We start from the raw sequence: 20,091 nt of genomic DNA, 5'->3' as shown, positions 1-20,091 counted from the left end.
AGGCACGCACCACCATGTCCAGCTAATTTTTGTATTTTTAGTAGAGACGGGGTTTCGCCATATAGGCCAGGCTGGCAGAAGACATTCTAACTGGGCAGAAATCTCTCCACATTAGCAAACATTTCATAATGCTTTCCACCACAAATGGGAAGGTAATAGCCAATAGCAATCTTAGAGTAATTATTGCCAATAAATTCTTATCCTATCCCAGCTTTGCCAGAGAGAATGGAGGTTGTTTACAGCCCAGGGACTGCATGCACTGAAGAAATAGGTCCAACCTCTTCCTGGTGGCCTGGGCCCATGAGGGATACTTACCAGTCATGTAGCAAGTCACTTTGCTTCCTGCTGCCTCAGGGTCCTCATCTATAAAACTGGGATAATAATCCTTATTCTGAAGGACAGATGTTGTGAGAATGCTTGAGACTGTGCGAATAAGCTTTGTAAAATGTAAAACACTCACAAAATGTAAGGCATTACTATTTGTTGTAATAAGCAGAATGGAAAGGGGCTTTAGATAACTATCCAGAAATTATTTCTCTTAGATTCTTAAGTGTTAGACTAACTTCCTATAAATGTATTCTAAGAATAACAGTCCTATAAGAACCCCCCACCCCCCAACTTTTTTTCTGAAACAGGATCTCGCTCTTTCACCCAGGCTAGAGTGCAGTGACCCAGTCATAGCTCACTGCAGCCTCAAACCCCTGGGCTCAAGTAATCCTCCCTCCTCAGCCTCCAGAGTAGCTGGGACTATAGGTGCATGCCACCACGCCGGGCTAATCATTTCATTTTTTCTGTACAGACAGGGTCTCACTATGTAACCCAGGCTGGCCTCGAATTCCTGGCCTCAAGCGATCCTCCTACCTCAGCCTCTCAAAATGCTAGGATAAGAGAAGTGAGCCACTGCCCTCAGCTAAGAAATCCCTTTTTAAAAAAATGTTGAAATCGGAGGGGTTGGGGTGAGAGGGAACTCTGTGACCAAACCATTCAGGAGAATACTGCAAATGATATTTCTTTCTTAGAAATACTGTAGTCGATAAACCCAGAGCTCCCCAAACTTAGTGAACAAGAAAATCTTTTTTTTCATATAATCCCCACTATGATCCCAAGGAATTTGTGTTGCACAATACAAAAACACATCAGAAAACTCTTAGAAAAACCTATTATCATGAGGTTAAAATAATTAAATGTTTATAAACTACAATGTGGCTTTTGGGAGGGGGCGTATAAATAGAACAAAAACTTACATACCCAGCTGTTGCAGATGATTGAGAGGGCTGGGGTGGTTTCACTGGTGTAGAACCAAGGCTCCCATTTCCCCACTGAACCATGCCCGGGCACGCAGGGGTCCTGGCACTGACTGTGTTTGTGTGCATGCAGAGAGCCTCAGCGGATCCTGGAAGGAGGGCGGCTGCGTGCCTTCCAGCACCAGCAGCAGCGGCTACTGGAGCTGGAGCGCCCCCAGCGACCAGTCCAACCCGTCCACGCCGTCGCCGCCGCTCTCGGCTGACAGCTTCAAGCCCTTCCGCAGCCCCGCGCAGCCAGACGACGGCATCGACGAGGCGGAGGCCAGCAACCTGCTCTTCGACGAGCCCATTCCCAGGAAAAGAAAGGTTGGTGGTCAGCCACGCGGTCTTCTGCATTCAGTTTCCTGAAGGTGCTTTCTGTCCCCTCTGAAGGGCCGGTGTGAGCTTAACCTTGGACCTACACCCCCTTTCTGTGGAAAGAAGCAGCTTACGTTCCTCTTTAATGTTCTTGAAGTTTGAATAGAAATTGTTATGGTGATAATTTAAAAATGACAAATACTGGTAAGTTTCCTGAAGGTATATACACACGTATCCCATCCATCCTCTGGTTATAAATTGCTGACCTGGGACTTACCAGTATTTGTAAGTTAGAAAATTGGACCTCAGGCTTGCTTCGGTATGAACTCGCTCTCTTCGTGGGACTTATTTTTTTCATATGTAAAATATAATTAATATATTTTTCTCTTTTCTCAATCAGCCCTGAAGGGTTATTGGGAAGAATATTTTGTATCTCATTTTTATGCAGTCATCTGTGAAATATACATAAAAGCTGAGATATAAACAAACTTCCATTCTTACATCCTAGAGATTATATATTAACTAAATAAAAAGTGAAAAAGGGCCAGGCACAGTGGCTCACACCTGTAGTCCCACTGCTTTGGGAGACAGAGGCAGGAAGATTGCTTGAGACCAGGAGTTGGAGACCAGCCTGTGCAACATAGCAAGACCCTGTCTCTACAAAAAAAAATTAAATAAAAAAAAAATTAGCTCAGTGTAGTGGCATGCACCTGTAGTCTCATCTACTCAGGAGGCTGAGGTGGGAGGATCGCTTTAGTCCAAGAGTTCAAGACTGCAGTGAGCTATGATCTGGCCACTGCACTCCAGTCTGGGCAACAGAGTGAGACCCTGCTGCTTTAAACAAAACAAAAAGGAGTAGAAGAAAAAAAAGACATCTAATTAATTGATTTAGCAAATTAATTGATTACACATTTGTTTAATCCTCCCAGCAGTCCTATATGGTAAGTTTTGCATTTCCATCTTGTTATGAGGAAACTGAGGATCAGAGAGATTGATTGTACATTTAACTGGCCCCTGTCAGGCAGGTTAGAAAGGGACAGAGCCACCATTCAAACCCAGATCTGCCTGAGCCTCAAGTTCATATTCTTTTCATTCTCTTTAGGTACATTTCAGTTATGTTCACTCATAATTTTTCGAAAACATTTCCATTTCACAGAATAAAGGAAAACTACCACTATACTACCACTAAATCTGAAGACATTTGGCATTATTTTTAAAATCACCACATAAATGTAAAACTGTTGTTATATGTATTGGTTTTTAAATGTTGTATTGGTAGCTTCATTATGAATGGCTGTTCACAAACAAAAATCCAATACAAAGCCCTGAGGACTGCAGTGCAAACTTTTTTCCTCCCCCAATTCATTTCAAAGAGGAAAACAAAGAGATGGCATTGATCCAACAATGCCTTCCCTCCCTGCATCTCTCAGCATCATTCCACATGTGTAACAGTGGAGGTGATATGGGCACTCTCTCTGAGTGTGTACATGTGAAAAAGGCTGACATTTTTGTCCAGAAAAGAGGATATTACTGTAGTCCCCTGACCTTCCCAGAGGCAGTGGCCTGAAGAGTTGCTGTTTCACACCAGTCTGTCATGCAAAGGGGCTGAAGTTGTTCTGGCACCCTGTGGGTCCCCAGGGACACTGGGTCTTCACTTGACCAGTAGGGGAGAGAGGCTGGCACTTGTATCAGTGGGTACCTGCAGGCAGGACAGTGGTAGGGACCTGAAGTCTTTTCCTGTTACTTTGAGCTTCACAGACTGTCTCCCTGGGGTTTTCTGAGTGTGTAGTTCGAACACTCAATAGGCATGGCCCAGGGTTGTGACAAGGACTCACGGCCCAGGGTTGTGACAAGGACTCACAGTACAGGGAACCCCAATGTTATTTAAGGCACATTAATGAAAGCCTGTCATACCCTTCCATTTCTGATGTAGCCACTGAGCCAAAATTCACACTCTTCCATCACAATTAGACTGCACTTGTTAGCCTCATATGGAAGGTCTACAGGCTTTAACTAAATTAAGGTAAAGTCACCAAAGGAAAAGGAAAAAAGCTTCCTTTTTTACATTTTTTATTTTTTTATTTTTTTATTATATATATTTATTTTTATTGGATGAGCACAGGCCCACTCCAGAAGAAGCTGGATAGTGGGAAGGAATGAACAAATAAGAATAGTGTTTATCCTTCTTTCTTTATGACTTCTCCCTCTATTCAGACTTTAGATGTCCCCAAGCCGAGACGAATAGGATGCTGATTGTAGCCACTAATGTTTAATGCATGGATTTTACACAGACCAAGTTGTTACCTTGGCCTTTTGAATTTAAAGTTACTTTGAACAGTGAAAATAACAAGAAGGTGAGGCTGATGCTATTCTTTTTTAAATTTATTAGGTGAACCAATATTTATTGAGCACGTATCAGGCAAAATGCTTATTGCCCTGAGAATAATGCATAGTTTTTTCCTTCAAGGTGTCAAAAGTTGGGTGGCTGGAAATTGATGTGTAAAAAGGCAATAATTACAAGTGGTAAATGCTGTGTTCGTGATGTGACAGAACACAGTAACTGTAATACAGTTATTTTAGAGATTTAAAAAATCATGTTTCAAAAGATTTCTAAGAGTTAATTTGCTTAAACCAGACAATATGTTCTGTCTAGTTGGTAGAACTTTCTGAGTTCATCTTATTTTCCTCTCCTTTCCCTCAGTTTCATAGTACCCATTTAAAACCCATTGTGATAGTCACTTGTTCTGTGGGTATTGTTTGAGAACCTTCTAGATCAGTTTTTTCCAACTGCACGTCTCAATCCACCAGAGGGTTGTGAATCAATTTAATGAGTCACTCTTTAATCAATAAAACAGAATAGAATACACTGTACATAATAAGGATAAGTATTGTTTCTTGACAATTTTGTTTCAGTGTATACATATGTGTATGTGCTGTGCAAAATGTATTTCTTATTGTGGCTCATGAGCAAAAAAGTTTGGAAGCTTCTGTTCTTTGTTATAAAGAGATAATACAATTTGTGGTAAATTAAGATGTCCTGATTGGAAATCAAAAGATTCACATTCTTAACTCTGCTACCCTGAGAACCTAAGAATATCATTTCACCTCTCTGATCATCAACTTCTTCATCTGTAAAACAGGCAAACAGGTATTAACATGCCCCTCTCAGGATAGTTATGAAGATTAAATGTGGTCTTAAGTGCTGGAATGTGGCAACATTTTAATAGACATTTGAGGACTCTAAACAAAAGGGGAGGGAGCATTGCCTATATCTGACTATGAAGCAATGATCCTGACCTTTGTCATTATTATGGAAGCTTCCTTATCTCTTCTCCCACCTCCCCCCACACAGAGATGGCTCACTCCCACCTCTTGTGGAGATCCATGTTCCACTTATGTAAAGAAGATGACAGTGTGTGATACACTGCATAGACAAGGCATTCTCTCTTACTATCAGTAGTGAGGAGGAAATATTTGCTGATAATCACTATATTTGCTTATTTAGTTACAGTTTACCAAATGCTTTTAAATGTAGCATTTCATTTCATCATCCCCCAAATCTTTGGTGTATTCTTATCCCCATTGTGCCAAGAGGCTCATTGAGGTTATGTTAACTGTCCAAGGTTGTGTAGCTTATAATGTGGCAGAGATCAGTTTAACTTAAATAGCAGAGGAAACGTTTGAGGCCAAGTTAATTCAGTGAATCCATATTTCCTTCAGCCCACAGAGGAGAAAAACGTGGAGAGAAAATAATCAGACATAGCTACAGCTATGTGGCAGGGTGGGAGCAAGGGTGCAGAAAGTTCAGAAAGAAATGGAGAGCAGAGATAGGAACTCCAGGCTGTCTGCCGGAGAGCTTACTTCCCACATGAAGTATCCGTCACCCATAAGGAACCTGCAGCCAAGGTAGGTGAGAGTGTGAGAAGGGAAATGAAAGGCTTCTCTATCCTAGCTCTGGAGGTCAGCCAGCCAACTTTGTCAAGCCCAGGTCTAGCAGAATTTTTCCTCTGGGATTTCAAGACAGACTGGCAGAACTTCCAAGCTCAGAGAAAAACCAGGTTGTGTGAGCCAGGACTCTTGACTTTGGGGAGGTGCAATTTCCGTCATGACCACAAGGTGATGCAGTGACCCTAAATACAGCCATTCGGGGAGTTCGTGGGAGAAAATGAATTCTATGGAAGGCCAAAGAGTTAACCATCAATTCCACAAGACCCCAAGAAAGTCAAGAAGCGCTGATCAGAAATGATTTGTGTGCCCTTTCCATGCCAGATCCCTGATTCTGTCAGATTCTGGATTCTGTGCATTCCAAAATTGTCATGCCAGCTTTAGGACTTACATGACTTAAGCAAGTCACTTGGCCTCTTCAGCATCAGTTTCCTCATCTGTAAAATAAGGAAAATGGTGGCACCATATTGATGTGGCTGTTGTCAGGAATATACGAGAGGCCCTGTAAAGAGCAATAAATGTTAGCTGCTAATACTTTGCCTTTCCTCCTCCCCCCTCCCCCACCGCCGTTTGGCAACTGCCTGAATGGGGAATTTGAGAAGCATAGGTGTGGAGAGAAGGGGGTGCTTGCCTCCACCCTCCACCCTGACCCACACTGACCGTGCCAATGCCACAGTGGCTCAGGATAACTCCAGATCCCTCAGCCACCCTGTGCTCAATTGGGTGTGCATTAGCCCCCCTGCAATGCACTGGGTGAGTGCAGCAAGGACAGTAGCAGAAATTGGGGGCATAAAAGGAAATCTGACTCAGGACTCTGCATTTCAGAACATTGGCAGCATCTCAGAGGCAATTTCTAAATTTCAGCCTTCATCATTTCCATTTATTTCACAGGTATGTGTCTTAACCATGAACAGTTGTACCTGTGTACTAGGAAGAACCTCAAGTTAGAGAAGAAAGCACTGAGTTAACATAAGGTGCTTCAGTAATAGTTGTACAGTAGCAAACAATTAATCATTTGCTCCACTCTGTATTTTTAATCTTCCAGAGCCAAAAAGCTATGAATCACTTTAAATTGTGAATGGCTGCTCCAAGAAGAAAACAAACCCGTAAAACCCTCACGAATAAGCATGTTGCCAGTCTCTCTGCTGACTTAATTCCTAACCCACTAATTTTGAGCAGAGAGTGCCTCTTGCAAAAAGAACGGCTGTTCCAGAAATAGATCCATCTGTTAAAACTGCTGGGGAGGGCGATGCTAAGAACAGCAGCTTGGATCAACTGCATGGATTTCATGGTGATGGTACATACAGCATTGTCAGCCAGGGCAGGGAGCTGATTGGCCTCATAGAGAAAATTCAGGATAAAGAGGAGTGATATCTAGGTAACTTAGTGACAAGATCTTAGAATAACCTGCCATGCAGTATATAGGCTCTGGGACATTGGAGTTCGAAGGACTTTGGAAATCTTCTAGCCCAGTCTCAATCTTTCCAAGTTAAAGGACTACTCAGTATGTCTAGAAATGTCCAGACGTCCCCAAAGATGAGATGCACTTTTAGAATTCATTGATTGAGGAAGCACAGAATGACTAGGGATTTCTGTTAATTCAGAAATCGTTTTGTTGTTTGGTGTTGCTGTTATAGAAATCATTTAAAATCAACTTTATTAGGTATAATTTTCACAGAATAAAATGAACCCATTTTAAGTATACCATTTAGTGAGTTTTGACTGTCTCTACCTGAGTAACCACCACTCTAACCAAGGCCAGCACTCCTCATACGCCGCTTCAGTCAAAGGCACCACCAAGCCCCAGACAGGCAACCAACCACTGGTATAACTTTCATCACTATAGATTAATGCTGCCTGTTGTAGAATTTCAAGTAAATGGAATTATACAGTGTGTATTTTTAGTATACAAAATACCAAATGTTGGCAACAGGAACTCTCATTTATTGCCGGTAGAAATGTAAAATGGTACAACCACTTTGTAAAACAGTTTGGCAGTTTCTTAGAAAGTTAAATATACACTTACCATATGACCCAGCAATTCCACTCTTAGGTATGTATTTACCTAAGAGATAAGAAAACACATGTCCACAAAAAAACTTGCAGACAAATGTTTATAGCAGCTTTATTCATTATCACCCCAAACTGGAAACAACCCAAATGCCCATCAACAGGTACCTGGATAAACAAATTGCATTATAACCATACAATGGGATACTTCACCACATAAAAGGGAGCAAACTACTGATACAAGAAACAGTGAGTGAATCAAAAAAAACATTATGCAGAGGGGGAAAAAAAGCCAGGCACAAAAGAATACATTCTGGGTTATTCCATTTACAGAACTGTTTTGTTAATTTTGTATACACGTATCACCACAGCATCTATAAACAGCACATGGAGGTGGGAGGTGTTTCATCCGTGCTTGGTATACATTGAATTCACCTGTTACTTTGTATTAACCCCACACACCTTGAAGATCCAAAATCTCTACTCTCATTCAGTCCCCTCATCTTACAAATAAATAAATAAAGCCCCCAAAAGGTAAGGCAACATGTATACTGTGTAACCGTGAGGTAGCATGAGGTAACATAGCTGCTTCTGGAACCCCTACCAGCTTCTAGGAAGTTACTAATTTTTAAATACACGAGCGCATTTACTGATCTTTTGGCACCTGCTGGGGATCTGTGTGGACCTCTTGACCCTGAAAGAGCCATTGGAGCCGCTGCCAAGGTGTGTGGGTTTTCATGAGACAGGCAGAGGAAGTTTGTATAATGCAGCCAACTCACCTGCACAGAATAACTTGGCCCTCTCTGTCCGTCAAGGTCCCTGGTCCTCTCTGGAGAGGCTTGGATGTGTAAGCCCCTGTCCCTGCCCTGCCATTCCAAAACCACACACACAAGTCACAATACAAAAAAAAAAAAAATACCTGAAGATCCTTTTAGTCACCTCAGAACATGACGTTAACTCCAGGCTGCTGACTGATAAAGTGACGTTCATGTGCTTTCTAGAATATAGCTTTAGTTGGACTTACACGTCATATGCATGTTATACAATACTTTGAAGCACTTCAAAAATGTTACATAATTCTTCAAATTCCAGCCATGTTTCCACTCTTGGAACTGAAGGTGACCTTCAGCAGTCACTATATCAATCCTAAGTATCACTCTGGGTTCTGTCAAGAAAATAGAAGCTACTTCGTATATTCCAAGTATGAAACCATTTTTTAGAAACAGGATTGAGGCTTACTATTGGTAGGGCAAGCAGAGAGAAAATCAGGGACACCTTGGCCAAAGGTCTCAGCCAATAGACCCAAGGAAGTTCTAGAGACAGTTCAGAAGCTGCTGCAAAGGCGAAAATCTCTGGGAAGTTCTCTCCAACCATTGTGGCCCACAGCATCAATGTTGAGAAATTCTAAAGAGTTTGTCTGGAAGCTGCTATGCATCTCACATCAGGCATATGTGAGATTCCAGGAGTCTGCTCACGACTGCGTGGAGCTTCAGCTCCTCCTGGGCCTGTTGCGGGTGTTAAATAAAGTACACGTGGAAGCTGCTAGCACAGGACCAGGCACAGAGTGGTTCCCAATCAATGGTGGCCTCCCTCTGTTCCCTTTGCTTTACATGAAGAAGACCATTCTGTTAGACTTGAGGTCTTTGCTGACGTTGGTGTTCTGCAGAAGTGCTTTCCACTGGTGTGAATTTTCAGCTGTTATCCATGAGATGGTGGACATTCCAGCTTTGCAAACATCTGTTAGCTCTGCGAGGAGAAGCTAGGGTAGAAGCACAGATGGGACCATTCAGATTTGGCTGCCGCAACTCTGCCAGAAGCTTTGCTTGGTTTGGCTTTCTTGGGCAGGCTTGGACCCATGCAGCAATCTGGGCGTTGTTTATTTAGCTATTTTTTCATGTTCTCCTCCTCCCATGGCTTGCTTTTCTTTAGTGTAACAGCAACTAGTCTGTTTGTAGACAAAGGATTTGTTTCAACTGGATATAGTTAGGGGACTTTGAAAAGTACTGAACTACCATTTAAAGAGCCTCATGCTTTGCTGCAAGAATGTCTTTGGCCTATGTAGAGACAAATCACTTTACAAAGGTGTAGACAGGGTTAGGGGAAATCAGTAGGGGGTGGTGCAGGACTCCAGGGGCTAACAACCTTGGAAGGCCATTATTAACCCTAACCCGTAGAGCCTTAAGAGGCTCTACAAGGGAGGAATTTCTACAATCCAGAAGGTTACCAGAACTCTGGAAATATAGCTGTTGGAGAGGTTACCCAACAGATAGGGTAACTTTTGGAGGAGAGATGTAGCCACTGCCCACCTGTGGCCAGGCAGAAGGAGAGAGCCAGGAGGAATCAATACCTTCCTGCTTTCCAATCTCTCCTGCCTCCCAGCTGCCTGCCGGTGCCTCTCATTAGCCAAATCCAACCAGAGATCTATGAACCAGAAGCCCTGTTAATGCAGCCTCCTGGGACCCTGAGCATGGTGCAGAAAAGGCATGGTGTAGACCTGACAGGTCAAATACGACAGGTCATCAAGTCCCTTAATAGATATGTAACTTTTCACATCAAAGAAGCTTTTCTTACAACTTCATGTTTAAGGTTTAATATACAGTCATATGGCATAATTTAACCAATCCCCTGTTGTCAACCTTGAGGTTGTTTCTTATTTTTATCTAGTGTAAAAATCTGTGTGATGAATGAATATACATATGTCTTTGCAAATATTTTGAATTACTGTCTTTGGAAAGATTCCTACAAATTGAATTGGCTCAAAGTTATAGGTGTTTCTTAAGCTCTTATTGCCTTAACCTGTATTGCCCTCAAATTTAAAGATGGCCCCTATCTGTGCATGTGTAAACTATGAAGGTAGAGCTCTGACAGTCTGGACTAAAATGGGATAATAAATGTGAGATGAGATATTCAAAAGGAATGTCAAAAGGAAGAGGAATGCAAAAGGAAGAGGTCGAGGAGAAAGCAGAACTTTGTTTTGCGATTGCCCCCTCCTCCAAAACAGTTGACAGTCTTCCCACTATATGTAATTATGTTTCTGAGTCCACATTTGCAACTGCCTTGCAAATCCACAGCAACTTTCTATATCTCTAGGATGCAACATTGTTTTCTAATCACTTTTGCTAATGACCTGAGTCATTATAAATTAGTAATTTTTCCTACAGCAGATTTTCCATTGTCTGGTGGTGAACTCAGACTTTCCTCAGGTAGCTACCAGTGTAGGGTATGCAAGATTGGAAGAGAAATGTACGATATAAAGTGAAGAGAAAACCATCTTATAATTCAATCCTCACAATGCAGGGCATCACCATGGATGTCCCCTGAGAAGTTAATTTACAGCCAGGTAGGATAAGCAAGTGTTAATCATACTGAGAAACATTAAATTCTACAGAACAAATCTTTTTGACAAACATTCTTTGAACACAGATGATTCACTAAGTAAATTTTACAAAGTGCTATTTAAACAAATTAAGATATCCCAAATGTGGCTCATCTCTGAGGTCCCAAAACACAACCTTTCTGAGATTGAACATAACAAATATTTATTGAGCCAGACACTGTGAGGCACTGGGATAGAATATAGTCTATCCCCAAAGTGCCTCTTGAAAACCCAGCAAAAGGAAAAAAGGAAAGAGGAGACAAAGTTCATCATGTTTCTTAATATCATTACCTAATTTTCTTTGGGTAACAGATTTCTTTGGAACCTTTAGCAGGGGTTCAAGGAAGGTGTGTGTATGTGTGAGGAGGAGATAAACAATTGCTGTTGGTAGTTATCCTAATTCCAAGTGACTTGACAGAGGATAATGGTCAGCTTCCTTGGATTCTGGGGGTTTGATGCCTCCAAAATGTATCATCTACCTGAAGTAACAAATGAAAATTATGGAAAGAAGTTAAACCAATGATATTTATTTTTCTGTAATCAGGACCAACCTTAACTACTTGTCAATTTAAAAAACAAATGCTTGACATATTATTGCAAGGACGAACAGTAATCTTGTAAATAGTACTTGTTATGGCACAAAAATACCACTGTGATTATCATATCCTAAAACAATCAGCAATTTGAGGCCTTAAAAAAGTCCCATGATGTAGGAGGAATTTGGCTTTATATGTCGTACAATAATTACTATTATATTCAGTATGAAAGCCTACATCTGACTGACTCATTGGTAAGAGCCATCAGATGACACTGGGTAAGTCTTGTAACTTTCTGGAGTCTTGTTTCCCATCATGAATATCAGAAATATGGAAATAGTATCTTATGCTTTGCCCATTCCTTTCCCACTCTCTAAGGCGGGGGTCCCCAACTCCCGGGCCTCGGGCTGGTTATCAGTCCGCACACAGCCGGTTAGGAACCCCGCCACACAGCAGGAGGCAAGCGAGCATTACCGCCTGTGCTCCGCCTCCTGCAGGTCAACAGCCGCATTAGATTCTCATAGGAGCATGAACCCTATTGTGAACCAGATTGCGCGCTCCTTATGAGAATCTTAACTAATGCCTGATGGAACAGTTTCATCCCGACCTGTGCCATCCTCTCCCAACCTGCGCCACAGTCCCTGGAAAAATTGCCTTCCATGAAACCGGTCCTGGTGCCAAAAAGGTTGGGGACTGCTGCTGTAAGGCAAGTATTTTATCCTTCTCAAGTATCCTCAAACTTCATACACAACCTTCCCTCTTTGTCATCAGTTCTGACCCCACTTCCTGCCTCATTGAAAAATTAGAAACAGTCATACAGGAATTCCTTTTTTTCCCTTCTCCACCAAATTAGCAAATTAACTGCATCTGCAGCCACCATCTGGTTTCCCTCCTTTTTCCAGCAGAGAACTGTCCTGTCTCATCCAAGGCAGCCCCTCTCCCTGTGCTGTGTGTATTGGCGCTGCTCTCCTGACCTTCTGAAGAACCTCATCCTGTAGCTAACCCCTGCTTCTCTACTGCACCATCAGTTTCCCTGTCTTTGCAGTCACTCCCATCAGCATAGAAACGCACCTTAGTATAACTTATCTTTACAAACCCTCCCTTGACTGCTCATAGGTCAGCAAAATTTCTTGAAAACATTGGCACTTACTCTCTCTGTTTTCCTAAATCCCACTTACTCTCCAGTCTATTACCAATCTGATTTCCATCCACAACACTCTACGAGATTTACTGCTATTTGGGCCACCAGCATCCTCCATATGCCAAATCCAAGGAACATTCCCAGTCCTTGTTCAACACAGTTGGTCACATCTTCCTTCCTAAGACACTTTCTTCTATTTGTGCTTTTAATATCATGATCTGCTGACCACTTCTCTCTCTTACTGCTCCTTCTCAATCTCCAACATAAAATATTGGATGCTGCAGTGCACCCTAATCATCTCTAACTGCATTTTTCCCTAGATGGGCTCATCCACACCCAAGCTTTCAGTGCTCCATCTCCTGACCCCAAATTTATATCTCTATCCCTGACTCTCCCTGATTCCAGGTTCACATATCCAGTGTCCTGCGTGCAATCTCCTTTTGATACATAATAGGCATCTCAAAATTAACATATCCAAAACTCACCCACAACTCACCCAGTCATTCAAACCTAAAACATGGAAGTCATCTTTAACACCATCCCTCTTATCATTCCTCATAGTCAACCCAACAGCAAGTATTATTGGATCTGCCTCCAAACTATGTCTTGAATGTGTCTATTTTTCTCCATCCTCTCTGCCCAAAGCCTCTAAGCCACCATCTCTTCTCACCTGCAGTGACTTCATGCACTGACTCCATGCTGGTGATTACATTTGTTTTCTATCCCAAAACAGAGTAATATTAAAAAAAAAAACAAAACAAAACTTAAGTCATACAGTGTCACTCTCTTCCTTCAGTAACTTCTCTTTTATTTTAGAAGAAAATCCAAATTCCTTACCTTTGTCTGCAAAGTCCCACATGATCTGACCCTGCTTCTGCACTTTATCTCAAACAAATCACTCCCTCCCACATTTCATTCTAAACACACCGTCATTCTTTCTGGCCTCCAAGAGGCAAGGTCTTTCTCATCTTCAGGCCTCTGCTTTTAACTCTTCGCTATGCCTGGAAAACTCTAGCTCTTAGCTTGGCTGGCTCCTTCTCCAACTTTCAGGTCCCAGCTCAATAGTCACCTTCTACAGGCCTCATGCTATATCTGAAATGGTCATCATGTATTATAATTTATGTCTCTCCCCTACTAGAATTTCACTTCCTTGAAAGAAGCCTCATTTCTTTTTTTGTTCTCTATCCCCAGAACGTAGAATATTCCTTGCTAAATAGATATTTGGTTTAATGAATGAAAGAATGCCATCAGCAAAAAGGTTAGGAATGAATCAAAAAGTGTTTTCATCTATCATGACTTCATTTCCAGACAGATACTTGGACTGTTGGGTACGTGTATTTTTGCTTGAGTCATTGGTTCTCTTAAGTGGAAGATATTTTCTACAATATAGCTTCATCATTTGAAAAATGGGCAGGAAGCATTTGTAGTGTGAGGACTTGTTCATTAATGTTTGCCATAGTTTGATATGGTTCATTTACCTCCACCAAAATCTCATGTTGGAATTTGATCCCCAGCATAGGGGTGTTGGGAGGTGGGGCCTAGTGGGAGGTGTTTGGGTCATTGGGGTGCATCCCTCTTGAATGGCGTGGTGCCATTCTCACATGGCATGAGAGTCTCACTCTCATGAGACTGGATTGGTTTTTGAGAGAATGGATTAGTTCCCTGGAGAGTGGGTTGTTGTAAAGCCAGAACACCCCTTGGGTTAGATCCCTCTTGGCATATTCCTGCATCACCTTTGACCTCCACTATGATTTAACTCAACACAAAAACCCTCACCAGAACCTGAGCAGGTGCTGGCGCCATGCTTCATATGCAGCCTGCAGAACCACTACCTAAATAAACCTCTTTTCTTTATACCCAGCATCAGGTATTCTTTTATGGCAATGCAAAATGGACTAAGACAGTATTGTTAAGTTATATGCTTTGAATAAAATAGTATTTTGAATTCTGCAGAATTCCTTTTTGTGAACCTAGCAGGTTTGAAGGTGGGATTTAAATCGCCCCATCTGGCGCATCTTACATTTCATGTGTTTAGATCACTGGCCCAAGGAGGTCAGGAAGGCTGAAATTTGTGAACCGTCTCCTTGGAATAAATACAGGCTCATAAGGATCATGTACTTAAAGTCTCCTAATTGTGTCTTTGCTTCTCCGCATTTTCACGTCCCTCAAAGAGCTTCAGCTGTAACTCATGTAGCTCTGGGTCCTACGCCCAGCACTGCACACTGCAGGTAGAACATCATGGAGCTGGGTGTGTGTGCCCAGGAGCTGCAGAAGAAACAGCAAGATTGCTGTGCTGTGAATGCTGGCCACCCAGGCAGAGCCTCTGGGGCACAGTGGGCCCTGGGCTCACGAAGCCCATGTGAACAGTGGGCTCCTTCCGTGGTTGGTAATCTGCTCTAGCAGACTGCTGCAATGTGCTGCCACATTTGTCCTCTGCTTGCCATGCTTAAGGCAACCATTCACCAACACATGAGCACTCTTCAATTCTGGAAGCTCCCAAGTACCATTTTCAATTCAGAAACCTATGGAAAATCTTCAGCATGGGGTGGCTGTCCAGATAAATCATCTGGATACTGATTCCATCAGTAATAGCTGATGAGTCGTCTTCTAAATATGTGAATGATTGCTTCATAGACTCAAGAGTATGATGGTGTGAACCAGAAGTACTTGATGGCAGATATTCTAGCAGGCACATAAATCAAGCTACATCAGTTCCATCAGTTTGGGAAAGATGCCACCACTGCTGTATGTGTTGGTCAGGGTGGGCTTACTATTGGAACAACCCATTTTTCTCACATGTCAGTAGCTTAACACAATAAACGTTTGTTTATTCTCATGTCACAATCCAGTCAGGTCAGTGGAGGTTCCGAAGAGGGTGGATGTCTTCGCTCCAAACAGCCCTCTGGGGATCCAGGCTTCTTCCTTCTAGTGCAGACCTTCTTAACCTGGAATCCACAGATCCCCAAATGGATACACAGAATCCAGGAAGTCGGTGAACCTGCATGGGGGAAAAAGTGTATCTTTATTTTCACCAACCTCTTAACCATAATTTAACATTTCCTGTAATTATGATTTAAGGCATGAAGCCATAATAATGTTAGCACCACCTGTGACTTTAATACCCATCAAAATCATAGATGTTTCATATCACATTACAATTTTAGTAGATATCATGAAATATCATTTATTCATAACACTACTTTAAAATTATGGTAGGCATTAGGCCCACTTCAAGGTATTGTTATTTACTACGTTAATTAGAGAGTATGCATATTGCCGTATTACAAAATTTTTTTTTTTTAAGTTCAACTTTTATTTTAGATTCAGGGTACCTATGCAGGTTCGTTACATGGGTATATTGCGTGATGCTGGGGTTTGGGATACAATTGAGCCTATCACCCAGGTAGTGAACATAGTACCCAATAGATAGTTTTTCAACACTTACCCCACTCCCTATTTCCCTCCTCTAGTAGTCCCCAGTGTCTGTTATTTCCATCTTTATGTCCATGTGGACCCATCGTTTAGCTCCCACTTAGAAGTGAGAGCATGCAGTATTTGCTTTTCTGTTTCCGCATCAATTCACTTAGGATAATGGCCTCCAGCTGCGTCCATTTTGCTGCAAGGGACATAATTTCATTCTTTTTCATGGCTTTGTAGTACTCCATGATGTATGTGTAACACATTTTATTTATTCATTACACTGACACCTAGGTTGATTCCATGTCTTTGCTACTGTGAATAGTGCTGCGATGAACATACAAGTACATGGGTCTTTTTGGTAGAATGATTCATTTTCCTTTGGGTATACACCCAGTAATGGGATTGCTGGGTCGAATGGTACTTCTATTTTTAGTTCTTTGAGAAATCTCCAAACTGCCTTCCACAGTGGCTGAACTAATTCACACTCCCGTCACCAGTGTATATGCATCCTCGTTTCTCTGCAGCCTCGCCAGCATGTATTATTTTTTGACATTTTGGTAATAGCCATTCTGACTGGTGTGAGATGGTATCTCATTGTGGTTTTCATTTGCATTTCTCTGATGATTAGTGATATTGAGCGTCTTTTTCCTATTTTTTTGGCCACTTGTATGTCTTCTTTGAGAAATGTCTGTTCATGTCCTTTGACCACTTTTTAATGGGGTTACAAAATATTTAATGTTTTTTTCTAGCTGTATTTCAATACACTTGCATTTCTTTATAATTTTGTGTATTTTATTTTAAACATTAAAAACCACTATTCTGAGAAGGATTCGTAGGTTTCACCAGACTGCCAAAAGGGTTCATGGCAAACAAAAAATTAAGAACTCTGATCTGGTGGTTTTGCTATACCCTAAGACCTTTGTGTCCTTTGCATCTAGCCAGCAGAGCAGACTGGGGGTGACACTGGGAAGTAGTTGAGGGGCAAGGCTTAGAAGGAATGTGTGTCACTTCTCATCCATCAGCCCTAATTCAGTGATGTGATCCCATTTGACTGCAAGGGAGTCTGGGAATCAAGGTCTAGCTGTGTACCCAGCAGGAAAAGGAAATGGGGCTTGGTGAACACATGGAAGTGACTGTCACCATACCCAAGGGAACAGTCAGCAAAGAGGTGGCATCCCAAGGACAAGGGACCTCCCTGGAGAAAACTCACTTTCTATAAAATTTACTCTAGGATGCATAATCATAATAATCCTGTAATAGCTGCTGTTGGTTGAATGGTTATTCCTGTCAGCATTCTGCTAACTGATTCACTTCCATGATGTCATTTAATCCTCATAATAATGCTGTGAAACAGGTACTGTTATTATTCCTATTTTATAAATAAGAGCACTGAGAACTCAAGAAATAAGCCCAAAATCAGTGCTCTCAATCATGGCACTGGACTGTTTTAGAAAATATTGCCGCAGCCTGGGCAACATGGCAAAACCCTGTCTTTACCAAAAATACAAAAAATTAGCTAGGCATGGTGGCATGTACCTATGGTCCCAACTACTTGGGAGGCTAACGTGGGAGGATCTCTTGAGCCCAGGAGGCGGAGGCTGCAGTGATCCAAGATTGTGCCGCTGCACTCCAGCCTGGGTGACAGAGTGGGACCCATCTCTGAAAAAAAAGGAAAAGAAAATACTGTGACCCTTGTTGAAGAGGTGGAATTTTGTACTGGTGGAGGGGATGGTTTCTGGAGCCAGAGTCCCTGGATTCGTATTTCAACTTTGCCAGTAGCTGGTTCATTGACTGGACACTTTTTATGGAGCTTTCTATGCGTCTGTAAAATGGAGATTAATATTAGTATCTGTCTTTTAGGATTAAAGGAGATAAACACTTAAGACAGCACCTGGCACATAGTAAGTGCTCAGTGAATGTTATCCACTGTTTAGACAGCCAGAATGGCCCTGTGACTACCTTCATGAACATGATCTGAAATATTCCAGCAGAGCCCATTTCTCTTGAAGGATATGAGGAAATAACTGAGGTCACCAAGATACTCACAAACCTAGGGATGCCTACAATAGTGTGCTGAGTTATAGTCAAGAGGCTGGGGATGCTGCTACTTTTCTAATGAAGGAAAAAAATATGTTGGGATGACATAAAGAAAATGTTGTTAGAAAATAGTTTCCATTCTAATATCACTCTCTCCCCTTTACAGAATTCCATGAAGGTGATGTTCAAATGCCTCTGGAAAAACTGTGGGAAGGTGCTGAGCACTGCAGCAGGTATCCAGAAACACATCCGAACCATCCATCTGGGGTAAGGCAGCTCTCTCTTCAGGGATGCAGCCCCCATCTGCTCAGTCTAGGGCCACCCGCACTCAGAAATTGCACACCACACTGTGCCTTAAAGGTTCTGGACACTGGGCTGGCTTGGTCTTCCTAATCTCTAGAGAGATGGCCACTGCAGATCATCTAAGCCAATATGGCACAGTGGAAAGAACAAGGATATAACATCCTAGAGCCTCATTAGTTCACTTACTGAGTCACTTTAGGCAAGCTGCTGCCCTGAGCCCCAGTTCCCTATGGAAATTTATAATAATGTCAGCTCTTCAGGGTCAAGTGTGAGTGCCAAAGATAAAATGTATGTGAGAGAGACTTTAAAGTACAAAACACTAGAGTAACCTGGAATCTGTGATTGGACTTCAAGGGGTCCTTGAACCCACTGAAATTACCTGTGGAATGAAATGTACATTTATTTTCCAGTGGAGAGTATTCATGACTTTAAGCCTCACAAGCATATATAGCCTAAAAAGAGTTCAAGAGTCACCACACCAATCGATGCTGCTGTTGCTGTTCTTACGAAATCACTTTCTGTTGCTCAGATAAGCCATTTATTTGTAAAATCTGTACTTTTCCTCATTATATAACAGCCTTCTAAAGGAAAGATAAAATGAAGGTTTAGGAGCCATAGCAGTTACAGGTCACCCCAGGGGGGCAGTGGTATTCCGTCAGTCTTGTGCTTTTTGCCCTGAGTCTATCTTGCCCAGGGATCTGAGAAGGGACCTTGAGAGGCTGTAAGTCAGAACCAGTGTTCATAAGGCAAACACAAATGCACGGCCAGGCTCCTGTGTGCTTGGACACAGAGGAGTCCTTTCCACAAGATAAGTGCAGAGAAATAAATGCAGCAGTCACTTTACCCAGCAAGGGATACATTTAGAAAATGCTTCATGCCCAACAAGTGATATAGGCAGAAGGTGAAAATAGCTTCTAAGGTAATCTATGAGGGTGGCTCCATAGTGACCATGGAGAGAAACAGGGATCTAGCTCTCTAATCATCCAGGCTGATGTTTGGGGACACACCAGAGCCTTCCAGAGCATATGGCCTGGAGAGCACTGGAGATAGGACCTGGTAAGGCTTCCCTGGCCAGAGTCTACCTTATGTGTAAGAAATACCAATTGAAATACCTCAGGGAAGAACACCCTCCTTCTGCTCCTCAAGCCTTCAGGGAAGGAAATCCTGCAGTGTCTCCCCTGAAATCTCATCGTCAAGACAATTCACAATGTAAGCAGCTCAGTTTTTTTAAAGGTTTAGAAAGAACTTCCCAAAGCTAGAGCCAGGAGGTAGGGTATTTGTTTTAAAGTCTGTCTGCCCAGAAAATTGAGTCCTATTCGGTCCCATCAGAAGCATATGCTGTTTATATGTATTTATAGACCCTGGAATTGGTATCACGTGTTAGTCCTGTGAGTTCCTGGGGTGCTCTCACAGTGGGTGGAATCTAACATGCAACCACTTTGCTTTCCTGGGATCCCCTTTTTCCTGATGTGCTTTTAGAATTTCCCTGGTGAATTATGGTTCATAGCCCTGCCAGGCACCGTACAGGAATGGGCCTGGGTTAGCAGGACTCTGAGGCTAATCTATGCTTATGAAGCCCGGGGCCTGTGCTCTCTGATGCACTGGGAGAGGGAACATACATTTGCCTTTATCCATGAACTCAATTACATGGCTGTAGGATGATGGGGCATTTTTAATGAGTATTAGCTGGTGAGGGGATGAGGAGGGAAACGTGTCAAAGCC

The 20,091-nt window shown here is 42.3% G+C and overlaps 1 protein-coding gene across 4 annotated transcripts in view; it reads left to right on the top strand.

Annotated features, from left to right (window-relative positions):
- Positions 1–20,091, top strand: part of ZNF704 (zinc finger protein 704) — a 255,969-nt gene that overhangs the window by 195,584 nt on the left and 40,294 nt on the right. For all 4 annotated transcript variants that reach the window (XR_928797.3, XM_017013725.2, NM_001033723.3 and 1 more), the window contains exons 4-5: positions 1,378–1,610; positions 18,233–18,333. Coding sequence is in view for 3 of the 4 variants with exons in the window: in XM_017013725.2 (XP_016869214.1) it covers positions 1,378–1,610; positions 18,233–18,333 (334 nt within the window). In the remaining variant the exon portion in view is untranslated. The remainder of the gene's footprint in view (positions 1–1,377; positions 1,611–18,232; positions 18,334–20,091) is intronic.

The sequence above is a fragment of the Homo sapiens genome, chromosome 8 (assembly GCF_000001405.40).
Source record: "Homo sapiens chromosome 8, GRCh38.p14 Primary Assembly".
Lineage (NCBI taxonomy): Eukaryota > Metazoa > Chordata > Mammalia > Primates > Hominidae > Homo > Homo sapiens.
Note: the sequence above shows the minus strand (reverse complement) of the source record. Positions and strands in the feature narration are given on the sequence as shown.